Source organism: Homo sapiens, chromosome 12 (assembly GCF_000001405.40).
Source record: "Homo sapiens chromosome 12, GRCh38.p14 Primary Assembly".
NCBI lineage: Eukaryota > Metazoa > Chordata > Mammalia > Primates > Hominidae > Homo > Homo sapiens.
In genome coordinates, this window is record NC_000012.12 from 63,994,496 (window position 1) to 64,020,572 (window position 26,077).

At 38.5% G+C, this 26,077-nt stretch overlaps 1 protein-coding gene and 1 long non-coding RNA gene across 8 annotated transcripts in view, besides 1 other annotated feature; one reads left to right on the forward strand and one right to left on the reverse strand.

The window, feature by feature from the left end:
• The window catches only part of SRGAP1 (SLIT-ROBO Rho GTPase activating protein 1), a 317,518-nt gene that overhangs the window by 149,796 nt on the left and 141,645 nt on the right, over positions 1–26,077 (forward strand). For all 4 annotated transcript variants that reach the window (NM_020762.4, NM_001346201.2, XM_024449096.2 and 1 more), the window contains exon 4: positions 22,455–22,517. In NM_020762.4, coding sequence (NP_065813.1) covers positions 22,455–22,517 — 63 coding nt within the window. The remainder of the gene's footprint in view (positions 1–22,454; positions 22,518–26,077) is intronic.
• Positions 1,210–25,284, reverse strand: LOC105369801 (uncharacterized). 4 transcript variants are annotated; one of them, XR_945023.3, is made up of 5 exons: positions 25,198–25,284; positions 12,225–12,274; positions 11,890–11,975; positions 2,035–2,095; positions 1,210–1,290 (listed from the first exon to the last, which is right to left on the reverse strand). It is a non-coding gene; the product is annotated as an uncharacterized LOC105369801 (long non-coding RNA). The 4 variants fall into 4 exon arrangements; XR_945021.3 differs by lacking the exon at positions 25,198–25,284 and adding an exon at positions 21,642–21,746; XR_001749173.2 differs by lacking the exon at positions 25,198–25,284 and adding an exon at positions 15,973–16,055.
• Positions 15,534–15,828: an enhancer, noted in NCBI's record as "tiled region #2861; HepG2 Activating DNase matched - State 6:EnhF". NCBI's record gives its function as "activates a minimal TATA promoter and a strong SV40 promoter by Sharpr-MPRA in HepG2 cells {active_cell/tissue: HepG2}" and the evidence as "EXISTENCE:reporter gene assay evidence [ECO:0000049][PMID:27701403]".

The window sequence follows — 26,077 nt, forward strand, 5'->3', positions numbered from 1 at the left end:
CAAGTGAATGCACAAGCTGGCCGAGACTCCATGCCTCTCAAATCCCCCACAGCCATTTCACATGGAGCGCCTTACCTTTGAGGCTGAATTGATTTCTTCATTCAACAAAAGAGTTATTTAATTCCAGACCTTCTACTAGATGTAGACAATGTAAACACAGATAGGAGAGTACTCTGCTTTTAACCTCTTAAGTTCTGCTTAGCTATTTTAAGAGAAGGTCAGAATTTGGAGGCTCCTGCTACACAAGGGCTTGTTTCATTCTCAACCCTCACTTGTTTCCCAAAGAACCAGGGCTGATGTGCCTCTTGCCCTGTTCTCCAGCTCTGCCTTCTGCAGTCATGAGCTTTTGCTTCCTTCTTTCCATTACTCATGCTGAAACAGAGTACTCTGCATCTGGTTTGGTTCTGCAGCCAGAAAATGTGCAGTTCATATGCTACGCATAAAAATGTAATTAATGTCATCTGTCACAGTTGCAGGACAGGCTATCCAGCCAGCTTGCAATAATCACTTTATTTAAGCACCTAATCACAAGGTGTTATTTACCAATTTTAAGAACGTTAATAGAAGTATGTAGTTTGGAGGTATACCATCAAATGGTGGCATTTGAATATGTTAGGTTATCTCTATGGGTTTTAAATTACCTTGAAGTCTGTCATTTCCCCAAAGATTGTTTTAAAATCATTAATATTTTTTATCCTTCCTTGGTTTACATAAATACATGTACAATATAATTCATCTTGTTTCTTCACCAATAATGATATCTATAAGCTGCCACTTACTGAGTTTTAGCTATGTGCCAAGCACTGTACTCTACATTTTCATAAATTAGCTCACATATCCTCACAGCTGCCCAGAGAACAGGTATTATATCCACACTTCAGGGATAAGGAAACAAAATGCTCAGGAGTATAAATTGCAGCATCAGGCTGACTAGCATGTATTCTTGTCTTTGCCCGTATGTCTTAGATAGTTCATAGCTCCTATGTACTCTGTTGGTATTTTTTGGTGGTAGAGATGTCACCCAATGCATAGGGTCAGAAACTTCTGAGAAATAGGACACTATGGTTCTTGTCCTAGTCATTCTTATGAAAAGACTGAAGAATGATATTCTGGGAAGAGGCACAACATTTGTCAATCATCCAAGTTATAGGGAGGGATTCAAAGCAGCAGAAACTGGCCCAAAGCCAGTGAGAATAACCCCTCTTTGGCATAAGTCCCATAGGTTGTCAGAGTCAGACTCACAGAAATTCAGTTGACTCACTTTAGGTATTGCTGATTGTGTGGCTTAATCTGAAAGAAAGGAAAGGTTACTAGTAAGATTCATACTTATTTTTTATTTTGATCAAAGACAGCCATATTCTATTTAAATACCCCAACATGAAAAAAAAAGCAAAGATATTTTATGGAGGAGAAAAGCTGTAGTTTCAAATACACCATTTAAAATAGGTTAATATTCAAACATGTTTTAGTAGAAGTTAATAAAAGATACCACTTGACTACAGATCTCTAAGGCTCTGACCTTGTTTTTTTTTTTAAAAAAAGTACCATAAGTTAAAAGCATCTGAAAACTACCAATCTCTATATGTGAAAAAAGAACCTATTTCTCTTTGAATATAAAAATAGATATAGATTGTAGAAATTTAGAAAACGCTATAAATATAAAAAGAAATAATAATTACCCATATTAACACTAACTACTTTTAAATTTTAGGCTCTATCTTTTCACTATTTATATGTGTATACATATACTTAAATATATATGTGTATATTTTACAGAATTGAGATTTCATTCTATATGGCTTGGAAAGGTGCCATTTTCATATAGAATATTATTAGCATTTCTCACATCTGGAAATAGGCTACCTCATGACTACATAGTACTTTACTATGTGCATGGCCATGTTAGTTTTCTGTTGTTAGACATTTAAATCTATGATTTTTTTTCTTATGCTACATTTTTTGAAGTAGAATTATCAAGTCAGAGGGTGGCCTTTGAATTTTGTTAGAATTTCATGTCTTGAATTAAATTCTTACTGTTTTCTTTTCTGGAGTAATGATGGTCATGGTTGTCATGTACAAACAGGTCATATATTCGCTGAAAAATTAATTGGCTTTTATTAGCAGTAAGCTAACACATATAGTTTAGTATACTTATATAACAGTAGTAAATAATATAACAAGAAGAACTTTTCCAAAGCATTTTAGTGCAGTGTTGCAGAAGAATTAAATGGTATTCTGGTGGCCTCAAGGGGCAGCTTAATTATTGATAGGGCCTGGATAAATAAGAATAGTTCAAGCTAACACTGCTAGCTGGTTCTCTTGGGTTTTATCAACCCTATGACTAACTTTTTATTTTTTAAGAAATAAGCCAAAACTAAACTATCATTTTTTGCAATGATGTAATTTTCTGAAATATTTTAGAAAATATTTTTAATTTGTATTTATAAATTGCTTATCAGGATGGCAAGCACATAATAAATGCTCTCTGAATAGCAATTATTGGTGCTGCTGTTCTTGGAGTTACATTGTTGCTTTTATTATTTAGTAACAACAGGATATGTGTGATTGGCCTGGCTTTAACTTTAATATAACAAGAGGAAGTACTGAATTCTGAAGGCAACTGTAACACAATGGTAAGTATTTGAGTATCTAAACACAGAAAAAGGTACAATACAATTACAGTATGCAAGATAAAAAAAATGATACACCTGCATAGGGCAGCTCCATTCTAATCTTATGGGACCACCGTCATTGAGTACAATAACATGCTATACAGGTTTGTAGCCTAGGAACAGTAGATTATACCATATAGAACAGGTATATAGTAGTCTATACCATCTGGATTTGTGTAAGTACACTCTATGATGTTCACACAATGATGAAATTGCCTAATGATGCATTCCTTAGAATATGTCTCTGTGGTTAAGTAATGGCCTGCCTGTACTTGAACTCATAATTACATTGAGATAAGTGGTCAAGGAATGCTTGAAAACTTATTTTTTAGCTAAAATTAAAATCTAGAAGGGTAAATTGTTTTAAATGGATATCTCTAAGTTACTTTTATTTTCTTCTGTTTGCTTATCTGTAGTTTCTGATTTTACACAATGAACAAGTTGTATAATAAAACACACAATAAAACAGTTATTTTTTGTAAACTGAAGTCTGAAGGAAAAGTTTGGTCCAGGTATACCAGTGTTTGTTTGCTGTAAAGGAGTGGGAAAACCCTATCCAGTAAATAATTCATCCCCAAATGCTGCTTATTAATGGAGAATCTGCCTATTCTCCGGGTCCAATTGAAAATTTCACTTGGATTATGCACTCTTAAGATGGTTAAAATAGGAAGACATGAAATCAGAGGACTTCTGACTATGACGGCAGATTCTACATGGGCTCCAACCACCTTACTTCCCAAAGTATCTGTTAAATGACCAATCGAATACATAAATAGGAAAAACTAGAATAATTATTTCGACTTCAAGCAGAGCCTATCACTCTTTTGCCCAAATCTTCTAATGACTCTCACCACACTCAGAGCAAAAGTCTACATCCCCACCTCCCTTCCCCAGCTTTATTCTTCTTTATAGCACTTATCCCTTTGTGACATACTATATATTTACTTAATTATTTGTTGACTTTCTGTCCCCTCAATTCCAGTGTAAGTTCCTACGGGAAGAGACCTTCATGTTGTTCACTGAAACAATGACTGGCACAGAGTAGGTGCTCAGTAAATATTTATTGAATGAATAAGTAATGAATAAAGATTTACTTCTGCATTAGAAACCAAAGATAGTGGCATTTACATAACAGAAGTTTCAAGGCATTTCAGCAAGACCCAGCATTAGCAAGGCTATGTTTAAGCAACACTATAATGTACATCCTACTTCCTGAGAGAAAGAAATCAGAGTGGGTCCTAGTAGTAACCTACCTTCACAGGTCAGCTAGGAGGACTGATGATGCTCATCACTGGAGCATCTTCTCTGTTCTATCACAGATTGGTAGCCCTGGGACCATGGCATTAAAAAGCACCACACTTTGCTCTAAGCACCCATAGGCACCATGAAATTCACCGGAAGGTTCACATGGCACAGATTCCCACCTAACTCTCCCAACTGAAAATTGCTCTCAGGATTATTTATATTCTTTTTCATCATTCCTTGAGATATTTGGAAATCCAGTCTATAGAAAAATTACTCAAGAACTGTCACTCAAAATCAAGCTCAGCCTGCCATTTGACTCTTAAGACAATACCAGGCAAGCATGAACTTCCTTAGAGAGATAATTATGCACATACTTGCAGGAATAAGTATGAATAAACAGAGAAGAATACATAGTTCCTCTAAATACATGCTATAGTTTATTCATTCCTTCTTCAATAAGTACTTATTGAAGCTTTCTTTGTCTCAGGCATTTGTCAAGATGTTGGGGATACAGCAGTAACCAATACAGGCCTTCTCCCTGCCCCTTGGATCTTATAGTGGGAAAGTACAATTACAATCTTAATTACAGAACAGCATGTTAATTGTACAGTAAGGGGAGAAGCCCCTTACTTCTTATGACTTGGAGATGAGGAAAGCTGCAATTTGAATCAGTTATTAAGAGTTAGCTGGAAAATGGTGGTAAAGGAGCAGAAAACTCTTCCAGGAAGAAACAGCATGTGTGAAGAACCACATGCCGTGAGAGATTTCATGGAGGAAAAAGGTGTTCTTTGTAGGTGACTCAAAGAATGGGAGAGGGCAGATGGCAAGAGAGATGATTGGAGAAATAAGGAGTTGAAATTAAAGGCCATATTGAGGAGTTCAAATTTATCCTAAGAGCAGTGGAAAGCCATTCACAGGTTTAAACACGATAGTGACGTGATCCACTTTCAGTGTGCCTGGAGTGTGGAGAGTGGATTGAAAGATAATAAGACAGAAAGTCTCAGTTTGCAGCTCTTGGAACTAATCCAGATGAGAGATGAGGATGCTCTTCCTTGGTTGTGGCAGTAGAAACAGAGGAGCAGGTGGATTCGAGTGGTGTGTTGGAGATAGAATATGTAGGCCTGGGTAATTGATTGGCTGGGTGGGAGAGAAGAGAGATGTAGAGGGAGCAGTCAGAGGTGACACCCAGGCTTGGGCAGTTGTCAGGGTGATAGGCGTCATATGAGAGGAGAAGGCTCAGGACACAGAGGCTGTGATGGGAACGGGATTATGGAAAACACGGTGTTTACTTTTGGGTGTGCCTATGGATAACTGGGTAGAGAAGCCCCATAAGCAGACCAAGAACTTCAGGAGAGAGATCAAGACTAGAGAGTTGGGAATCTTCCACCTTTGGCAGGTCATTAAAATCTTGGGAGTAGCTGAGATAAACCAGGGAGAACATATAGGGTGAGGAGGGAAGAGTAAGAAAAACTCGCAGCAAAACTAGGAATTAAAGGATAAGAAGAAGAACTGTATCCTATAAAATGACTGAGAAGGATCAGCCAGAGAGGTGAGAAGAAACGCAGGTCAGTGAGGTGTCCGGAAAGCTAAGTGAAGAAAATGCTGCCAGGAGGGAGTGGTCAATATGCAAAGGTCCATGATGTCCACTGAACTGAGCAGCAAAGGGTCATTGGTTATCTCTGTAAGAGCAGTCTGGGCAGAATGGCAGATGTTGAGTGAGCAAGTTAGGACAGCAAATGTGGACAGTATTGTCTAGAAATTTGCCTGTGAAGAGGAGGAAAGATAAGGGAAGTATTTGAAGAAGAACATTGGTCAAGAAAGGTAGGGGTGTGTGTGTGTGTGTGTGTGTGTGTGTGTGTGTGTAAAAAAAAAAAACCAGGATGTTAGGACAAACTAGTTTAAAATGTGGAGGAGGGCCAGGCCTGGTGGCTCATGCCTGTAATCCCAGTGCTTTGGGAGGCTGAAGTGGGAGGATCACTTGAAACCAGGAGTTCAAGACCAGCGTGGGCAACATAGCAAGACATGATTTCTGAAGAAAAAATATTTAAAAGTTAGCCAGCCATGACGATGTGCACCTCTACTCCCAACTACTTAGGAGCCTGAAGTGGGAGGATTGCTTGAGCCCAGGCATTTAAGGCTACAGTAAGCAATGAATACACCACTGCAGTCTGGCCTGGGCATCAGAGTGACACCCTGTCTAAAAAAATCCAAAAATAATATGTTGAGGAAAAGGAGCCACAAAAAGGGAAGCTTGACATGTTAGGAGAGAACAGGTGTAATTGATTGATCCAAGACTCTGCCAAGGGGGCAGGTAATGGGACCCAAAGGACAGGCAGAGGGATTAGCCTCTGGCAAAAGACTGTATTTGGAGATGAAAGAAGAGTTCCTATGGATGCGGGATTCTCTATTCCTGTTTCTTTGTGAAGTTAGAAGTGATAACATCTCATAAGCAAGAGGAGAAGAAAGAATGGTCTATTGGGAAAATAAGGTTTGAGAAAAAGTAGAAAAGATTTCAACCAACCCTTGGAGGGACCGATAATTAAAAATAAAAGAAATATGATATGAAAAAGAATCCCCACTTGAGAAAATATCACAATATGAAAATAAAATATGAGTTTTCAAACAAACTTGCTGAAAAGACACACATACACATACACACACAAACACGTAGTACTTTCGAGCCTCAAGCTTGCATGACTTCTACCCAGCATTCCATAAAATCATCCTCTTTTCAAAAAGAACACAGATTAGGTCTTATATATAATATTAAATGTCAGAAAACAATGGAGCAAAACCTGCAAGGACAATTGAAGGAAAGTTACAACTCCAAAATTCTAGATACAACCAAGTTGTTATTCATTTTAAAAAGCAACTGAAGAGCAATCTTAAATATGTAGTGTACTTTCCTGAATACACACTTAGTTTGGGTAGATTGTGTGCAAAGTTAGCATTTTCCTTTTATCAACTCCCTGAAGTATTTCTTGCCCACAGTGACTTTGGGCTTGGCCATATGACTTGCTTTGGTCAATGGGACAATGGTAAATGTGAAGCAAGCAGATACTTGAAAAGTGCTTCCAGATTGTGGCCTGCCCTCTTTTGATGTTTTTGGACATGTAACAAGTTATCAAGTCCTAGCTAGCTTGCTGGATGAGGCACAAGACTACATGGAAGGCAACTGAAGCCTCCTAAGTGACAGCCAGCCAAATATTACACATATATTGAGGACATCTTAGATCATCCAATTGCCAGCTGACCCCAGCTGATTGCAAATGCAAGAAAGAACACAGCCAAGCCAGCTCACAACAGAAGAACCTCCCAGCTGGCCCACAGAAAACTGAGCTAAGTAAAGTGTTGCTTAAAGCCACTAAATTTGGATGTTTTGTTCCACAGCAAAAGTTAAATGATACACTAGGTAAAGACCTGTGCCCTCCCCAAAAGGTAGATGAAATCAAAAGATAAAAATAGGTTTTGGGTAAATTGACTAAGTATACTCCACCATGCCTTTCCCACTGAAGGCATTTTTAAAAACACTGAATACCCGCAGCAGTTTAAAAACTGAAAATTAAAAAGTAGCAGGTAGTTTGGGGAAGAAGACCAGATTTTTAAAATTCCGTCAAATTGGCATTATGTTTTCCACTTCTTTTCCTTCAGTATCCTCCAGCCTAAATGCAAGGCAGCTAGAAACCTGGAAGGAGACATTGGACTTACATAAACATGGAGGGCTGTAGGAGAAGCTGTTAGCTGTGACACAAAAAGCAGAAAAGGGAAAATAAAGATGATCCCAAATTTTTCATTTTTCTCGCTACTTCCTCATGCCCCAGTCACCAGACAATCCCAAAATGGCAACAGCAGCAGTGACACCAACAGAGGCCTACAACTACCTACAACTCTGAAATAGAGAATCTTTCCTCCCTGATCAGAGGAGCTGTGATCCAAGAGGGTGGGGCAACAACCTGTTGTTTTATTTTCTGTCTGTCCTGCTGCCACTTGGCCTCAGATGTGGACACAGTCATAAGGAGTGTTTAGTAGATTAGAATAACTAAAGCCCCAACTTTCCAGTTAGAGCAATGAAAAGGGGAGCCCTAGGAACCAAAAAGTACTGGGGAGATTTCAGAAGGGGTAAAGGTTGAGAAAGCAACACCATAAAGTTCTTTATGAACTGCTGAATCCCTAAGCTACACATGAATGGGACTAATCCTAGACAGAAACCTACCAAAGACTTCGAGAATTGAACTATAGAATAGGAGCATTGTGTGAGTTCTAGAGAGGCCACTTTGTGGTGCATCTGCAGGACAGGTACAGATAGCACTGCAAAGGTGTTGGAAACAATTAACAATAGGATACTGGTCAGAATTTGTATTCCGAATCCAACCAGATTGATTTCCTGATAGAATAAAATTATCAGAATTCTGTATATGGTTTAAACAAGACTAGGAGTTTCATAATATAATATTCAGAATATCCAGAACACAATCCAAAATTACTCAGCATACAAAGAACCAGATAAATTTCAACTTCCATGAGTAAAACAATTGATAAACATCAAATTCTGAGATGACACAGATGTTTGAATTATCTAACAAAGATCTTGGGGGGGGTGTGTATGTGAGTGAGAGAGAGAGAGAGAGAGAGAGAGAGAAAGAGAGAAAGAAAGGGAGGGAGGGAGGAAGGGAGGGTGGGAGGGAGGGAGAAAGGAAGGGTCTCACTCTGTTGCCCAGGCTGGAGTGCAGTGGCTCAATCATGGCTCACTGTAGCCTTGACCTCTCCAGGCTCAGGTGATCCTCCCACCTCAGCCTCCCAAGTAGCTGGGACTACAGGTGTACACCACCATGCCCGGCTAATTTTTGTTATTTTTTTGGCGATGGGGTTTCACCATGTTGCCCAGGCTGGTCTTGAACTCCTAGGCTCAAGTGATCTGCCCACTTTGGCCTCCTGAAGTGCTGGGATTACAGGCTTGAGCCATCATGTCTGACCACAAAGACTTTTAATAAAGCAACCACGATAAAAATGTTCCAAGAAGTAAGGGTGAATACTCTTGAAATGAATGGAAAGCCAGGAAGTTTCAGAAAAAAAAAAAAAAAAAAAAAGGTATAAATGGAAATTTGAGAACTGAAAAATGCTATAACTAAAACAACAACAAAAAAATTCATTAGATAGACTCAATATCAGAATGGAGCTAACAGAGGGAAGAATCAGTGTATATGAAGGTAGTGTAACAGATATTACCTGGTCTGAACAACAGAGAGAAAAAATATTTTAAAAAAAATGAACAGAGCCTCAGGGACTTTGGGAATGATACCCAAATGTCTAACATTTGTGTCATCAGAGGTCCTGAAGGAGAGGAGAAAGAGTGTGGGGCATAAAATTAAAACTAGTTGAAAAATAATTGCAAGAAAATTTCCCAAATTTGGCAAATGACATAAACCTACACATTCAAGAAGCTCGGCAAAACCAAACTAGATGAACCCAAAGGAGTCCATACCTACACACATCATAATAAAACTGAAAACTAAAGACAAAGAAAAAAATATTGAAAGCAGCCAGTGAAAAATGATACATTATTTTGTGGGGAACATTAATTCAAATGGCTGTGAGACTCTCAACCCTCTAAATGCTAGCAGCACCTCACAGGTTGTGACAACCAAAAATGTCTTCAGACAAGCCAAGTGTCATCTGGGGGCAAAATTGTCCCTAGCTGAGAAACATTAATGTAAGTCAATTGAGTCTTCCATCCTAGTTTTTTTAAAAGAAATATTCCAGTTTGGCTTGTTTTCCCATCTTAGGGTTTGCAAGTCCAAATTCAATAAACAAACATGGGGTAGGTCAGAAGGCACGCAGTCCCTCATGTCCCATGAAAAAGGAATTTAAAAATATGGTTCAGTACCAGGTTTATTCCATTTCAGTTATTTATAAAAGATGAGCACTTAATAAAGTTCATATTCTTTTTTTGTTTTTGTGTTTGTTTTTGTTTTTCACTTGAGACAGAGTCTCACTCTGTCACCAGGCTGGAGTGCAGTGGCGTGGTCTCAGCTCACTGCAACTTCCACCTTCCGAGTTCAAGTGATTCTCCTGCCTCAGCCTCCTGAGTGACTGGGACTACAGGGCCCGCCACCACGCCCAGCTAATTTTTTGTATTTTTAGTAGAGACAGGGTTTCACCATGTTGGCCAAGATGGTCTTGATCTCCTGACCTCGTGATCTGCCCACCTCGGCCTCCCAAAGTGCTGGGAATACAGGTGTGAGCCACCGCGCTCGGCCCAATAAAGTTCATTTTCAAAGAGGCATAGACACATTGAATCCTTACCCATTTTTCTCATCTGAGAAAGAAGATGCTGCTTTAAGAAAGACACTGATGAGGAGAGAACATTCCTACCATATGTTGAGGTGTCTGCAGTTGAGTCAACAAATTCTAAAGCAACCTAAGAACAGTATTCTGGTTGCTAGCCAACTTTCTTACCAGTTGAAGACTATGTTTCATACCACATGATAGGGATTCTAAAAGATTTTTCAGCAGCTGTAAGAAATGCCATATTGGGGGAGATTGTACATATAGCAAATATTTGAATTAAGAAACACTTGTGATACCTTGGAATATATCAACCTAAAAATATGCATTTGCAGAAGAGATACCGAATATGGCTGTCAGATTTATTTCAGTACCTCTTAAAACTCAGAAGAAAAAAAATATTATTGTGAGTGAAGCAGTTAAATAGGAACAAGAAAATTTGCCAACTAAATACTTTGTATAATTCTCCTAGAAGCCTATAAAAAAGGAAAGATCTTGACAGTGGATGTATGAACTATTTAGATTGAGAAAAAATAATTTTCAATAATTAGTAAATAAACACAAGCACTACTTTTTAAACATTAACAGTTTCAAATGAACACATAGAACCATAATTGGCTAATGTGCTGGCTTGAATAAACATGCCCATGAAAGTTTTATCTTAGCTGGGCACATTGGTTCACATCTGTAATCCCTGCACTTTGAGAAGCCAAGGTGGGAGGATTGCTTGAGGCCAGGAGTTCACACCAGCCTGGGCAACATAGCAAGACCCCCATTTTACAAAAATAAAAATTAAAAAATAGCTGGGCATGGTGGTGTACATCTGTAGTCCCACCTACTTGGGAGGCAGAGGCAGGAGGCTTATTTGAGCCCAAGAATTCAAGGCTGCAGTGAGCTATGATTGCACCACTGCACTGCAGCCTAGGAGACAGAGCAAGACCCTGTCTCTTAAAAAAAAATAAAAATAAAAAAAAGTTTTAACTCTTTAGCTCTAAAGATGGAGATTGCACAGATCTACTATTATAATCAGCTTTTATTATTTAACAAGATCTAATCACTCTACCGAAGAAGTCATGACAAATGCATAGTAACTTATACTTCTCTTCCCTTTTTATTTTTTCTGAAACCTAACTTTACTGAAATCAGCTTTTTCCCAAAACAGAATAGGCATTATATTTCTTGATTTATTCAACAAACCTCTATTGATAACCTTTATGTGATAGGCACAGTGGCGGCTACTATGGTCACAAAAGCGAGTAAGACACAAATCTTCAACTGGTACCCCCATAGGAACTTAGACTCTAGTAAGGAAAGGAACTATAGACATAAAAATTACATTACAAATTGGTAACTGCTCTTAGATAGATAGGACCTAAGACCATGAGAGCACAAAGGATTGAGTAAAGCATTCTGGCTGGAAGAAAGGCCTCACAGAGAGAGTGACATTTAATCAAGCTCTTAAACTTGGTGAGATTTTACAAAGGAACTGGGGGAAGTACATTCTTCTATACTGGCAGACCAGCAAGGACAAGGCTCTGAATTTCTGATCCAGCCTAGCACATATCTAGGAAATGAAGCTAGAGAAAGATAAGGGTAGATAAGACTCCTGGTGGCCCCTTAACAGCAATGAGTTTTAAAGATGAATTAGGCCACTTCTGTGCCTAGAGCAAATGCTCACATCTCTTACCCAGCTGGCTGGTGTTAGGAGTGTAGCCTATGGCGTGATGAAGGATAAACAGTGAGTAACAGCTGTCTGAGGTCTGGAGAGGCAGGCTGTGGAGGGCACAAGAATTTGAATCTCAGTTTGAGGAATTGGTATGTTGTTATCTAAGCAATTAAGGATGCTAAGAGAGTTTTAAAGCAGATATATGACTTAATCAGCTTTGTGAAGCATTTGAAAGCATTGGAATGGGAAGAAACTTGTCTTGGGGAACCTGATGAGGAAGCTGTTGCATTAGTAATCTGGGTGATAATTTTTATCCTATCATGTGAGTTGTGGCCAGAGCATAACTCTATACTTACAATGACATTGCCTTCAAAAAGTTCTTATTATTGTCAACCACCAGTGTGTCCTGGGGGGGAAAAAAGAATTATCATTGGTGCAGATTAATAACGAGTTGAATGGATTTTTGCTGTTGACTTTTAAAAGCCCTGTTAGTAATTTAAATCCAGAATATTTTTATTCAGTCCATCCTATTCAGATTTTCTTAAGGCTTCTACTTCTTTAGCTGATGGATCTTTAGCTTACTGGGAAAAGAAAAAGAATCTAATCCTGATTCATAGATTCTTGGGCTTATAATCTATGCAGACATGGATTTGGACTGACTCCACCAAACAGGGCAATCACAAGTGATTACAAGTTACTGAGTGGCCTGTGTTGCTTCCTAATCCTCCCAAGATCTTAGCTTCAACCCCTTGAAATATAAAAACTTGTACTTAATATCACTAGCTGGAAAATAATGAACCGTTATCTGTGAGGCAAGGAGAATTTGCTCTGATTTCTGTAAACTGTGTCATATAAGGCAGTGGTCCCCAACCTTTTTGGCACCAAGGACTGGTTTCATGGAAGGCAATTTTTCTAAGGGCAAGGGGATAGTTTCGAGATGAAACTGTTCTACCTCAGATCATCAGGCATTAGATTCTCATAAGGAGCACATAACCTAAATGCCTTGCATGCACAGTTCACAGTAGGGTTTGTGCTCCTATGAGAATCTAATGCTGCGGCTGATCGGACAGGGGGCAGAGCTCAGGCATTATAATGGTGGCTCACCCACCGCTCAGCCACCGCTCACCTCTTGCTGTGTGGCCCAGTTCCTAACAGGCCACGGACTGGTACCAGTCCATGACCCAAGGGTTGGGGACCCCTGATATAAGGAGCAGTTAAAGACATTGGGAATATTTAGTACAGAGAAAATAAGTCTCAGCTAGGACTCAATATTTGAAGACCTGTCATACAGAAGATGGTATCAGCATACCTACTCTATAAGGCTACAGGAGTTAAGACCAATTGGAGGAACTTAAGTAGAGACAGGTTTACTTTATCCTAAGAAAGACCTTCTAACAGTCTGAAGTCAGCAAGGCTATCTCACATCTAGAATTCTGCTTTGTTGCAGTTTTGCAATATTCTCTGGAAGGGACTTTATCTTCCTTAATATAGTACCACAAACACAGTTGAATATTCTAAAAAGTAAATCTTGAATTATGTTGAGTTGACTAAGACATTCTGATTTGAAAGTTTATATGAATAGACTGTTGCATTCAAATTTAGAAAAACAAAGTGTCTTCACAAGATAAAGATAAGATGCTGAGCTAATAATAGCATCATAATGACAATAAGAGATAATACTTATGGAATGCTTAGTATGTGCCAGACACTCTGTTAAGCACATAACCATGGGCATGTCATTTAATCCTTTTAACAACGCTATGGAGTATATACTGTGATCTTTCCCTATTTTACAGCGGAAACAGCTCAGAGAAGTTAAATATATTTAAACAGATATTTAAATAGCTTGGCCCTTCTTGAAGGTTTTGGGGGTTTTCCCCCTTAAAGTGCCTGTCATCCCATGTGCAATTGCCCATTAGCCACAAGGATTTTTAAAATTTCTCTGATTGTATTCAGCAACCCAAGTGTCTTTGTCAAAAAGATACTTACTCCATAAGAATGTTTTTCTTTTTCTATTTGTTTTGGTACCTTTACTTACATCCATTGTCAGATTGGTGACCAGTTAACTGGCTGTAGTTCTGAGGTGGTGCTATTCAGCCAAATGTCAATCTTTAAAGGAAGTTTCTGATTTCGTTTAAATTTTTAAAGATCAATTACTTTATTTAAAAAGTATGGGTATAGTTCCAGAGTGATATAAATATAGAGATTTTGCTTGGCTTAAAGTGTTTTTGAAGATGCGTAAATCAGACTGGATTGAAATTGTTTTGATTACCTCTCTGTTTCTCTCCTAGACTGTAAGGCCACTTTTCTTTCCTAAACACATAGGAGACACTTAGTAAAAATTAGTAGAATTAATGGGTTAATGCGTGACTGAGTATGTGAATGAATGAACTTCAATATCTCAAAGAATCTCTGCCTTTTGCTTGCTAATCCAATGGATGACTTATAAATGAGCAAATTTCCTGCTTGTTGATTTGCTTAGTCCCTAGGTTTTTCTTACCACAGTACTATTAAGAGTAAGCTTATGGGTTTCCTACACAATGTGGTCTAATTTGCTTCATTACATAATATACTTATAATCCCAGCCACCTGAGTTGTAGATGTGAGCTTTTGGTCACACCAGGGAACGGTATAGCTTTGGATCTCTCACAATTATGGCTGTCACAGAAAAGAAGGCCAGTTGGCTTTACTAATAAATTTGCAGGCTCAAGTTCATGCACTAAAGAAGACATATTATTATGGTAATAGTGAGAAATTGCTCATAAAGCTGAGTTGATTGCACTTTTGTGAAGTTCAGCATATTGAAAATGGTTTGGAACTACTTTTTGATATTTTTAGTTAATTATAGTCTGAAACAGTTTTATAACTCATTCTGATTTTAATTAAGTAGGTTTATTTACATCAGCCACTGAGAATTTATATGTAACTGGTTATTCATTTAGTGACACTGAAAAGGTGTTTCCAATTTATCAGCATTTTGAGTAGAGAAACAACTTTTCATGTGTTTCTTGAAGAGCTAGGGAAATGAAAATGAAGACGCTTGTTTCATCTACTTTATTTCCTGTAGGATTTAAATCTCAGTCTTGAGTTACTTAATCAGCCCATTCAAATACTGTTTATATGTGGTAGATTGTGAGTGACTTTGGTGTTGATGACTATGCACCTTTCAAATTGTCTGCTGGAAGGCTGAACACAGCAACAGCCGACCTTTTTCACCTGGATGTAGAATACCACATTTGTCCAGCAATTACATCAGTAATTGTAAGAGATGCCCCAGATAGTTCCCTTTATGGTTAAGTTTTGTCTTGATTTGAAATGAAGCTCTGGTTTCTCTGTATTTGTGATTCCTTCTAATTTCTCCTTTTCTAGTGGCATGGAGTTTTGTCTAAAAAAATCTGGTTTTTACCCCTTTAGGGTAAAGTAGATCATGAAACTAATTCCATGATAGTTAGATAGCTTCAATACTTAGTTGTGATTTTAGTAAGTACAAAACCATGTCCCGTGACAGTTAGAAGGGAAATGTGCAGAAACACTGTAAACATTACCCAGAAACTTGGTTCAGGCCATCAAGCACAACCCAACTTTCTCCATTAGGCATTTTAGAAGACGCTGTTGCCTGTGTCTTCAGAGTTTACCTGAATTAAGGGAATGTATCATAGAGACACATGATCATGAGCTTTGGAAACTTAAAAGCACACATACTGTGGAAGTATGGCCTGATCCCTTTAACCAGAATTTACATCCCAAACTGACTGAGCATGAGACACTGCCATCATCTGAAACCCTCTCAGTAAATATTTAATCTGGTTTTTCTCTTTCTCTTTTACTCCCGCGGTGACTCAGCATACAGTCTGGGTTTCTTGACTGGTCATCACAGTAGATTTACTTTAAAAATACTTCTGTAAAAGGCCATAGGCCTTCTGAATGGGTCATTGAATCCAACCACATAGATCACTTGATAGATTGCTCAGTGTACTCATACGTGGTTGTTTTAACTATCCTCTTTGTTCTTCCTCTCCCTCCTTTCTGGGAGGTTCTGGGGGTAAGACTGGATAGGGTAAGGAATAGGGACCCTGGCCAGGGCCCACCCAGTGTAGCATTTACCATAGCACTCCATGTAGAAAGCTGTTTTGGTATGTCTGGCGTCTTTGTGAGATTGCAAACTGGAGTGCAGAAACCAGTCCTTACTCAGTGCTGTTCATTCAGCAGATGTAGCTCCTGTACCTCCAGGGTGCCAAGCACCAAAGTAGGCACTGGGAATGCAAGGACAATTGTTAGGATGTGGTCCCTGCTCTCAAAGAAACTGTGTTTATGAGGAAAGAAACAAATGTGACAAGCCTGCTAGCAACATTTCAAGTGTGTAATAAGGACCATCTCAATAAAACCCTGTGACAGAGATAATTAGCAATTCTTTTTTGTCAGTGGAAAAACTGAGGCTTTGCAAAATTATTTAACTTGTACACAGACTGTAACAAGGTAGTTTGAACACAGGCACTTCAACGTTAGAGTTTGAACTCTTAGCCAGTATACTAGATGGCCTAGAGGTGGTAATAAATTAATGTATTATAAAATCAAAAGGAAGGAAAGACCTAATCTCTTTCCTTGGGGGCAAGTTGAAGTTACCAGAAAGTTTTTACAGAGTTACATGTAGGATTGTACCAGCCAAAGAGAAGGAGGGAGAGTCTAGGAAAGAGGAAATGGCTTGAGGAAAGTACAGAGATGGGAAAGCGGGGCCTGAGACTTAGCAGTTTAGGACCAGGCTGAAGGATGGGGTGTGGGATTTGTGGAAAGTGAAGTAGACTAGTTAGGCAGAAGTTATGGATGAGTTAAAAAAAATTGAACTCTATCCTAAAATAATGTAGCAAGCCTTTCAACAATTTTAATCAGAGGAAGCCTAATTAGATTTTATTTTAGTTCTGATGACCTATAGAAAAAAATTGATCAGCCAGAATTGATAAGATTGGTAACTTCTTCAAGGAAAAGCAGCCAGTCTTAGAGGAACCCTAGATTTCTGACTTGAGTGACATTGTTGTCCTAGAAGCATTATGATTTCATTATAACCCTTTTAAAAAATAATCTTCTAACATGTATCAGGAGTCTTAAAAATGTTTATACTTTTATGCTAGTAATTTCATGTCTGGGAATTGGCTTAAGCAAATAATACAAATGCAAGATATATGCCTTTTGACCAGCATTTATGATATTAGTTCAGAGTGCTTAAAACATATTGGTGAAATTGAATAAAGAAATAAATGATTGACTAGTTGGTAGAAAATAGTGGAAACATTGGAAACAGTACACTTAAATTTAATGTTAATGTACATTTACTAGGTAGTTGTTATGAATCAAATTGTGGTTCTGAAAATTATATAATTACATGTAAAAATGTATCGTAACTTAAAAAAATAGGAAAATATACTTAGACCTATGTTTAAATAAACTTGAAGAAATACATCAAATCATAATGGTGGGCCAAGTGCAGTGGCTCACACCTGTAATCCCAGCACTTTGGGAGGCCAAGGCAGGCAGATCACTTGAGCCCAGCCTGGGCAACATGGCAAAACCCTCTCTACATAAAATACAAAAATTAGCTGGGCATGGTGGTGTGTGCCTGTAGTCCCAGCTACTCAGGAGGCTGAGGTGGGAGAATCTCAGGCCACTGCACTTCAGCCTAGGTGACAGAGGGAGACCCTGTGTCAAACAAACAAAAAAAATTATAATGAGCTGGGGGACTGTCCTTCTATTCTCTTATTTCTTCAGTATTCAATATACTTAGTTCATTTTCATGATGGAAAAAGATTAAAAACTTTGAGACTGTTCATTTTGGACTTATGTTAGAAATATCTGAAACATCAAAATGACAATAAACAGTAAACAATTGGAAATAGGCTTGGAATTAAACTCTGGGTTTATACACTGGAGATATTCAGTAAATGTTAACTGAATTGAAGTTCTATCCATTTTCCTTCCCCTTGGGTCAGGATCCCAGAATCCTAATGAAATGTATTAGAATATTAGAAGTTTTACCATTATTTGAATATATTATTGGGTAACAAAAATTTCTTCCCTAACACAGAAGAAACATTGATTGCTTTTCTTAATACTTATATTATTTTTCTTATGTGGCAATTCTTGTTCAAGGGCCAAGGGTCTGCTCTCACTGCTTTCAAATATTTTAAGTTATTATCTTTTTTTTTTTTTTTTTTTTTTTTTGAGAGTGGGTCTCACTCTGCCACCCAGGCTGGAGTGTATGCTCACAGCTCACTGCAGCCTCGAACTCTTAGGTTCAAGAGATCCTCCCACCTCAGCCTCTCATAGCTGGGACCACAGGTGTGCACCACCATGCCCAGCTAATTTTTGTATTTTTTCTAGAGATGGAGTTTCCCCATATTCCCCAGGCTGGTCTCAAACTCCTAGGCTCAGACAACCTGCCCACCTCGGCCTCCCAAAGTGCTAGGATTACAGGCATGAGCCACTACACCCGGCCTGTTTTCAAATTTTTAATGAAATAGAATCCATAGGTGTATTTAACCTATTAAATATTTTTTTTTCCTAATAGAGACAAGGTTTCACTGTGTTGCCCAGGCTGGTGTTAAATTCCTGAGCTCAAGTAATCTTCCTGCCTCAGCCTCCCAAAGTGCTAGGATTATAGGTGTGAGCCACCACACCTGGCCTCACTTATTGAATTCTGATGGACTTTTAACAACCCAGATATTTTCTAATTAAAGGATTTCAGTTCATTAGCCTAGTAATGTCGTATGCTAACTGGGCCACACCAAGTGCATTTTGGTTTAAAGATTGCTTCTTTGGGAGTCCAGAGTAGCATTTTGAAAAAACAATTGTTTCTCATTGTTACTGTAATAAACTGGAAACATATTTAAAGTGGGGGTAACATGAGGTGCTCCCTCCACTGTTGCCATACCATGAGGACAGGAACCATGTCCCCAGGATTCAGATTAGGACTTGATGTTTTATCTGGCCCAAGTATCTGTGAATACAAGGATGTGTGAATTCATGTTTCACAAATTAGTCGCATAAACCAGTGCTTCTCAGAGCATAGTTCAGTTCCTTAGCAATCTTTGAAGGCTAGTGGTGGGAAGAAAATCATTAATTTCTACGTTATTTACCTATGGAGGGTTTGGACTGTCATTCAAAGTGGACAAACAGGCAGAAACTTTGGTGCTGTGTCATGAGGATAGCCAAGGGTCTACCTACTGAAAGGAACTCCACAACAACTTTTCACAAAATCTAAAATTCCCACTGGAGCCTGCTCCTCTAGGGCCTCTTTCATCAGTTACATATACCTTATTATGGGGACTTGAGGAATTATCAGTTTCCTAAGGGATGTTTCATTAATTCATTCAATAGCACTGGTAGTAGGACTCCCTGAGAAAATGTAACATAGGAAGATAGGTTTAATATACACACATGGCAAGGGAATATGGATATAAGAAAAGCTGGAGCATAATCCTTAAGGGCCCTTTGGAATCCAGGGTCACCTGAAGGAATCTAAAGGCCAGGGCAGTGGGGAGGGACATCAAAGTCAACTCAAGCCCCTCCTACAGGGAAGCCAATAGAATCAATGTCAAAAGAGACCACAAGAAAGGACAAGGTGATGTGGCCTTTTCACTCAAGGGAGTTGCCATAACGAATAGTGTCTGGAAAAAGAAATAATGATAATTATGGTGTATTCACTGTGTGTTAGGAACCATTCTAAATACTATGCATGAATCATCTTATTAACACTTACAAGAACCTTATGAGATAAGTACAATGCCTATATTCATTTTACAGGTCAGGAAACTGAGGCATAGGCAGATCCAAAGTCACTGAGACTTCACCTTAGGCATTCTGACTCTAGTCCTTAGACCTTGCTTTTAAGCATTATATTATACTGCCTGCAGACAAACTTTATATATTTCAGGGCCTCTGGGGAATGACAAAAGAAAAATGTAAGTGTATGTCTGGCAGACCACAGTCTGTCTGTGATGCCAGATTTCTTCTACCTTATTATCTAAAGTCTTAGAAAATATGGAACATACTATGACTTGTCAGCACATGGACACATAGAAGGGAATAACACACACTGGGGCCTACTGGAGGATGGAGGCTGGGAGGAGGGAGAATATCAGGAAAAATAACTAATGCATATTAGGCTTAATACCTGGGCAAAATAATTTGGCACAACAAACCCCCATGACACAAGTTTACCTATACTACAGATCTGTACATGTAGCCCTGAACTTAAAATAAACGTTAAATAAAAGAAAAAATCATCTTGTCCTAAAGATATTTGGCCTAAGATAGCTTTGAGGACCCTTATAACCCCAAACCTAAATCTTTTATCTGACCCAGAATATTTTCTTGGGTTAACGTTTCTTGAACATAAGGGAATTTGTTGTTGTTGTTGTTGTTGTTATTGTTCTGAAGTCTTAGCCAAGAAATATTTTCTTCTTTTCTTTTTCTTTTTTGAGACAGAGTCTCACTCTGTCACCCAGGCTGGAGTGCAGTGCTGTGATCTCGGCTCACTGCAACCTCTGCCTCCTGGGTTCACGCAGTTCTCATGCCTCAGCTTCCTGAGTAGCTGGAATTACAGGTGTGTGCCACCACACCTGGCTAATTTTTGTATGTTCAATAGAGATGGGGTTTCACCATGTTGTCCATACTGGTCTTCAACTCCTGGCCTCAAGTGATCTGCCTGTCTTGGCCTCCCAAAGTCCTGGGATTACAGGCATGAGCCAACGCGACCAGCCATCTTTTCTTTTTAGACTTGCTACCTGAAACGTGGGTAGCTGAGCAGAGTTAGTTGGTGGCCTTTGATCCCATTAGAGAGTTCTAAATTGTTGGCCCAGATCCTTGAATGAAATCTGATATTAAAATAACACCAAACTGAAGTCATAGGAGATTTGTAGTATAATATATACCCTCTCAATAATCAAGACATAGGAAAAATAAAATGAGTTTCAGTTGACTTCATTTTTTTACTCATGACTTTCCTTTCACTCTTGAGTGATTTGTAACCCACATCTTCACATATCAGGGACACAGCAAGACACAAAATCCTTAACTCCAATTTGGGATTTTAGAAGCTGTCAGAGCTTAGTAAATAGCAGCACTCTCTTAGATACTCCAGGGAAATTCAGTGAAAAATACTGCTAATGAATTTAAATTTCTCAAAGTTCAGGTACTGCTCTGATGCCATCTTCCCACACTATTTTATCTTCCATGAGTCTTCAGTCTATCATATTTGTTTGGCTTTTGTTGAGGCCTGACCCAATGACCTCATGTTTACAGATGGACTTGGGCCAGGACTAGGACCCTCTTTAAATTCTGCATTCTTGGTGCCCATTTGCCCAAGCACCACACAGGACACCGAGGGGTTGCAGAACTGATTAAGATATGGCCCTTATCCCTAACACTGATAGTCCAGTGAGAGGTACATTCACGGACCAGTGGATGTTGTTAATGTTGCAAACTGTAGATTAAGCTATGCTACACATTTTTTTTCCATTTTCTGTAGCTGACTACATAACTCAAAATGGGGGAAAAAAGGTCATTTGGATATATGATTTCCTTAAAATAACTTACAGCTTTTGTTGAAAATAATATTCAAATACTTCTCTATCAAACTCTCAGAATTAGCCTAGGGAAGGTTATTTCAAATGCTGTTTTTTACCAACTGGGTAGAAGAATGATACTCTCCACTTTTTTGTCTTCATTGAAAATAATAATAAATGCAGAGGTAAAAGTTGATGGACCTTGAGTGGACTTACCATTTTACTGCTTTGAAAGTGCTTTCTTGCCAGGCTCAGTGGCTTACATCTATAATCCCAGCACTTTGGGAGACTGAGGCAGGCAGATTACCGAGTTTGAGACCAGTCTGGGCAATATGGTGAAACCCCGTCTCTACAAAAAATATAAAAACTAGTTGAGCTTGGTTGCACGCCACCCTGTCTCTACAAAAAATATAAAAACTAGTTGGGTTTGGTTGCATGCCCCTGTAGTCTCAGCTATTCGGGAGGCTGAGGTGGGAGGATTGCTTGAACCCAGGGGTTCAAGGTTGCGGTGAGCTGTGAGCATGCCACCGCGCTGCAGCCTGGGTGACAGAGCGAGACCCTGTCTCCAAAAACAAAAAAGTGCTTTCTCAAAATTAAACTTGTTGTGAGTCACATTGTAACTTTGGGCAGAGGGAGTTAATTTCCCCTTTGGTTTCTAAGTTAGCTTTTTGGGAATCACACTGTAAAATGTCATGATCTAGTTCATCTTTAATGGTCCTTAGTTCTGCAACTCAACTTTTAAGCAAGCATGACGCTTCAACCTGCTTACTTTTTCTCTCTTTTTGGTAAAGTCTGTTTGGATGGCGGGGGAGCCGTTCACCCATGGTTGTCACTTGTTTGCTCTGTTTATCTTATGGGGACCATCTGTATACAATGTCTAGAGTTTACAAAGGGCCATTCCGTTAAAGATGTTTACTACAGAGGCTTGCTGTCTTTCTGTCGTGTTAGATACATTCCTCTATTTTCAGTTAGTGGACTTTTTAAGATGTAAATAATTTTAAAATATTCTTTTTTATTTTCTAATTACAGAGCAAAGAGATTGCATTCCAACTTCATGAGGATTTAATGAAGGTTCTTAATGAGCTTTATACGGTAAGGACATAATCTTTCTTCTTTTCTAGAATCCTTGGGTTAGAATTCTGGTTTGTAAAAACACTGCTCATTGTAGTATTCATTCCAAGCCAGAGTGACAATGGATCCTCATCTGCTTGAAATACAGGAACAAGGGATAGGTATACACAGCTACATTCCTTCGCCACTCCATTCCAATTTGGAGAAACTGTATTCAAATAAATTATCTATCTACCTATCTGTCTGTCTACGTACACATGTATATACACAATTAGCACACTTTAAGAAATTGAAGTATAGATGTCTCCATAAGATATGTTTTTAACTGGATTGTATGTGATCTCTACATATATTGAATTCGAGAATATTTTGTTTAAAATTGATGCCATTGTGGCCAGGCGTGGTGTAATTGCAGCACTTTGGGAGGCCAAGGCTGGTGGATCACTTGAGGTCAGGAGTTTGAGACCAGCCTGGCCAATGTGGTGAAACCCCGTCTCTATTAAAAATGTAAAAGGTAGCTGGGCATGGTGGGATGCGCCTGTAATCCCAGCTCTTTGGGAGGCTGAGGTAGGAGGATCACTTGAACCCGGGAGGCAGAGGTTGTGGTGAGCCAAGATCACACCACTGCACTCCAGCCTGGGCAACAGAGTGAGACTCTATCTCAAAAAAAAAAAAAAAATGTTGCCGTTATGGAACTTGAGCAATTTAGGTTGCGTTATTCTGGTACTTTCTTTTTTTCCCACATTTTAGTTCAATTAATTGTTTTGTTAATGACATATTAAAACTACTTTTGAAGGATATCTTTTTTTTTGCAATAATTTGCTTTTGTGACTTACATATTATTTAGGGTACTTCATGTAATCGTTAAAAATTAAATAAATTAAAACTACTTTATTAAAAATAACTAACACCTAATGATGTTGCAAGTTGGAATTAGTAATATACTTATGTAAGTATTTTTTCACACTTAATGATCATGTTATTAAATACAAATTTCTTTTGGGGGATATTTTATTTTAAGAGAATAAAATAACAACAAATGAGTAATATTAATTTATATTAATGAAAGATATTTGGATTTTTATTGTACAAGATTATTTTGTTTGTTGGTTTGTTTTTGAGGAGTCTTACTCTGTCACCCAGGCTGGAGTGCAGTGGCACAATCTCGGTCACTGCAACCTCTGCCTCCCGGGTTTGAGCAATTCTCCTGCCTCAGCCTCCAGAGTAGCTGGGATTACAGGCATGCGCCAGCATGCCTGGCAAATTTTTTTGTATTTTTAGTAGAGACAGGGTTTCGCCATGTTGGCCAGGCTGGTTTCAAGCTCCTGGCCTCATGTGATCCGCCCATCTCAGCCTCTCAAAGTGTTGGCATTACAGGCATGAGCCACCGAGCCTGGCCTGAATTGTTTTTTTATAGGCAAACTAAACCTGAAACTTGAAAGCACGTTTCTTGATTTACCAATTCCATTTGTTCCTAAAAAGGCACGTGTGTAAAATACAGTTTTGTAAATTAAATTTTTAATGCTCCTTTGATACTTACTAATTAAACTTGTAAATTAAACTTTTATAAAATGATTCTTTATAAAATGAACTTTCTAGTTTTTTACTATGTGTGTGATAAATCTATTTTTATAAAGCACATTTACTGCATCTGTGCATATAAATTGAATTGACAGTTTCTATGTGTTCCTCCTTCAGAAACTTTCCACTCTCCATGCAACCTACAAAAGCCTCAGGTTAAGAGATTATATCTATATACCAAATGCTTAATGAAACTGATTTTTATGTGATAAAGGCCAATTTCTAGCTCCTGCTTTATGTGATTTGTTAGCTTCTGATACCCTAAGGTATCAACCATTTCTAGAAGCCCAGTAATTTAAAAGTTAAATGACCTTTGTATACCTGAGACTTCCAAAGAGGAACAAGCAGAAATTCTGTGTCGTCTTCCATTGAACTCTTTTAAGATGAGGACATTGTGGCACTTTCCTTGAGGTTCCTTTGCTTAGACATTGTTTTACCTAGAAATAGAAATCAGTCCCTAATACCTTAAAAAAATAAGTCTGCTGGTTGTCATGCCATCTTGGGTTAGAGCCTGTTGATTATGGTCTGAAAATAGTAGTAGTAGTAAAGACAACAGTGGCAAAGATGAACTTGACCACTGAATACAAGAAAAGTCAATAGAGTGTCCTGAAAATTTTATCTCAGTGAGAGATATATATAATTAAATTTCTCCTAGATCCAGCCTATCGATTGCACCTAGACATTTTGCAGACTCTGTAGCGTTCAAGTGAGTAAGCTGACACCTCAGAACTCTTATCAATATCAGCCTGAAAGCCTGAAAGAGTCAGGTTCTACCAAAGGCCACCAGGGTTGGAGTGACCCTATCACAGTCATTTAAGCTCTCAGAATTGGTTGAGGAATTAAGGGATAGGGCAGACAAGTAATGAGGTTTTAATTATGTCATCTGTAGATCACTTTGAGCTCCTGGGGAAAAAATTTACTTTAATCAGAGAGCATGCTCAGCAAGGCCAGAGGTCATATTCTGTGGGGAGAGAACTTCATATCACTCATGCACACACACACACACCCTCTCCCTTTTTATTCTAAAAGGAGATGCTATTTTGTCTTTCTTGCATTTTATCTTCAGATACACAAACTCTGTCTTGTTCAAATCAAATCTATCCATTATATTAATACTTACTCAGTTTATATTAGGAAAGAGGCAAGATGAGGCATATTTGAACAGTGGAACAATATTTGGAGGAATGTAGTTTAGGTTCCCCATTCAACCACTCACTGGCATTTTGGTCATGAACAAATAACCAAGTTGCATCGTGCATAGAATTTTGTACAACTGATGATGTAATAGTGATTGTTGAAGTAACAGGCATAAAATACATAGCCTCAGGGAATTGAGGATGCTTTTTAATTGTCTTTTCTGGCAAATATTCACTCCTCACTTGCTCTCAAACCTTGACACTCCTTGGGAGTTGAAAGTGAGCAGTTGAGAAGTATACTAACTTCCATATGCCAGTGGAGTACTTAATTTTAAATTACAGTCAACCTTTGTGGTGGGTGACAGCCTTATGTTTGGACTTCCTTACCCCAGAATATTGCTCCCACAGCAATTGTTGATTATTTCAAACATTTTATCAGAAGGCTGTGTCTCAAATAAAATATATATGCTCAGGAAGGAGAATAGAGAGAGACGCCCTATGGTCCATTTATACGTTAGAGTGAACCTAGTTTTACCAGGCCAGATTGTGCAGATGATGGGGTAGATATGATATCATATGATGATATGATAGATATATAATACAATAGAGCACAGGTTGTGTGGATATGGCACGAAGCCCTGGACTTAAAGCAAAGACAGGATGGTGGCATTAGAGTGGCTACTGAAAGGAAAGGCTTTGAAGACTTGCAGCTCCTTTTCTATATTTTTGCCCAATCTTGCCTTTATTTGCTGGGAAAAAAAAAGAAAAAGGCCTCAAATGGTTTTAAACCTCTATTTGAATTCTTAGGCCACTACAAAAGACAGCCAGAGCAGTTAAGATTAGTTCAGTCTTCACTGGCTACAG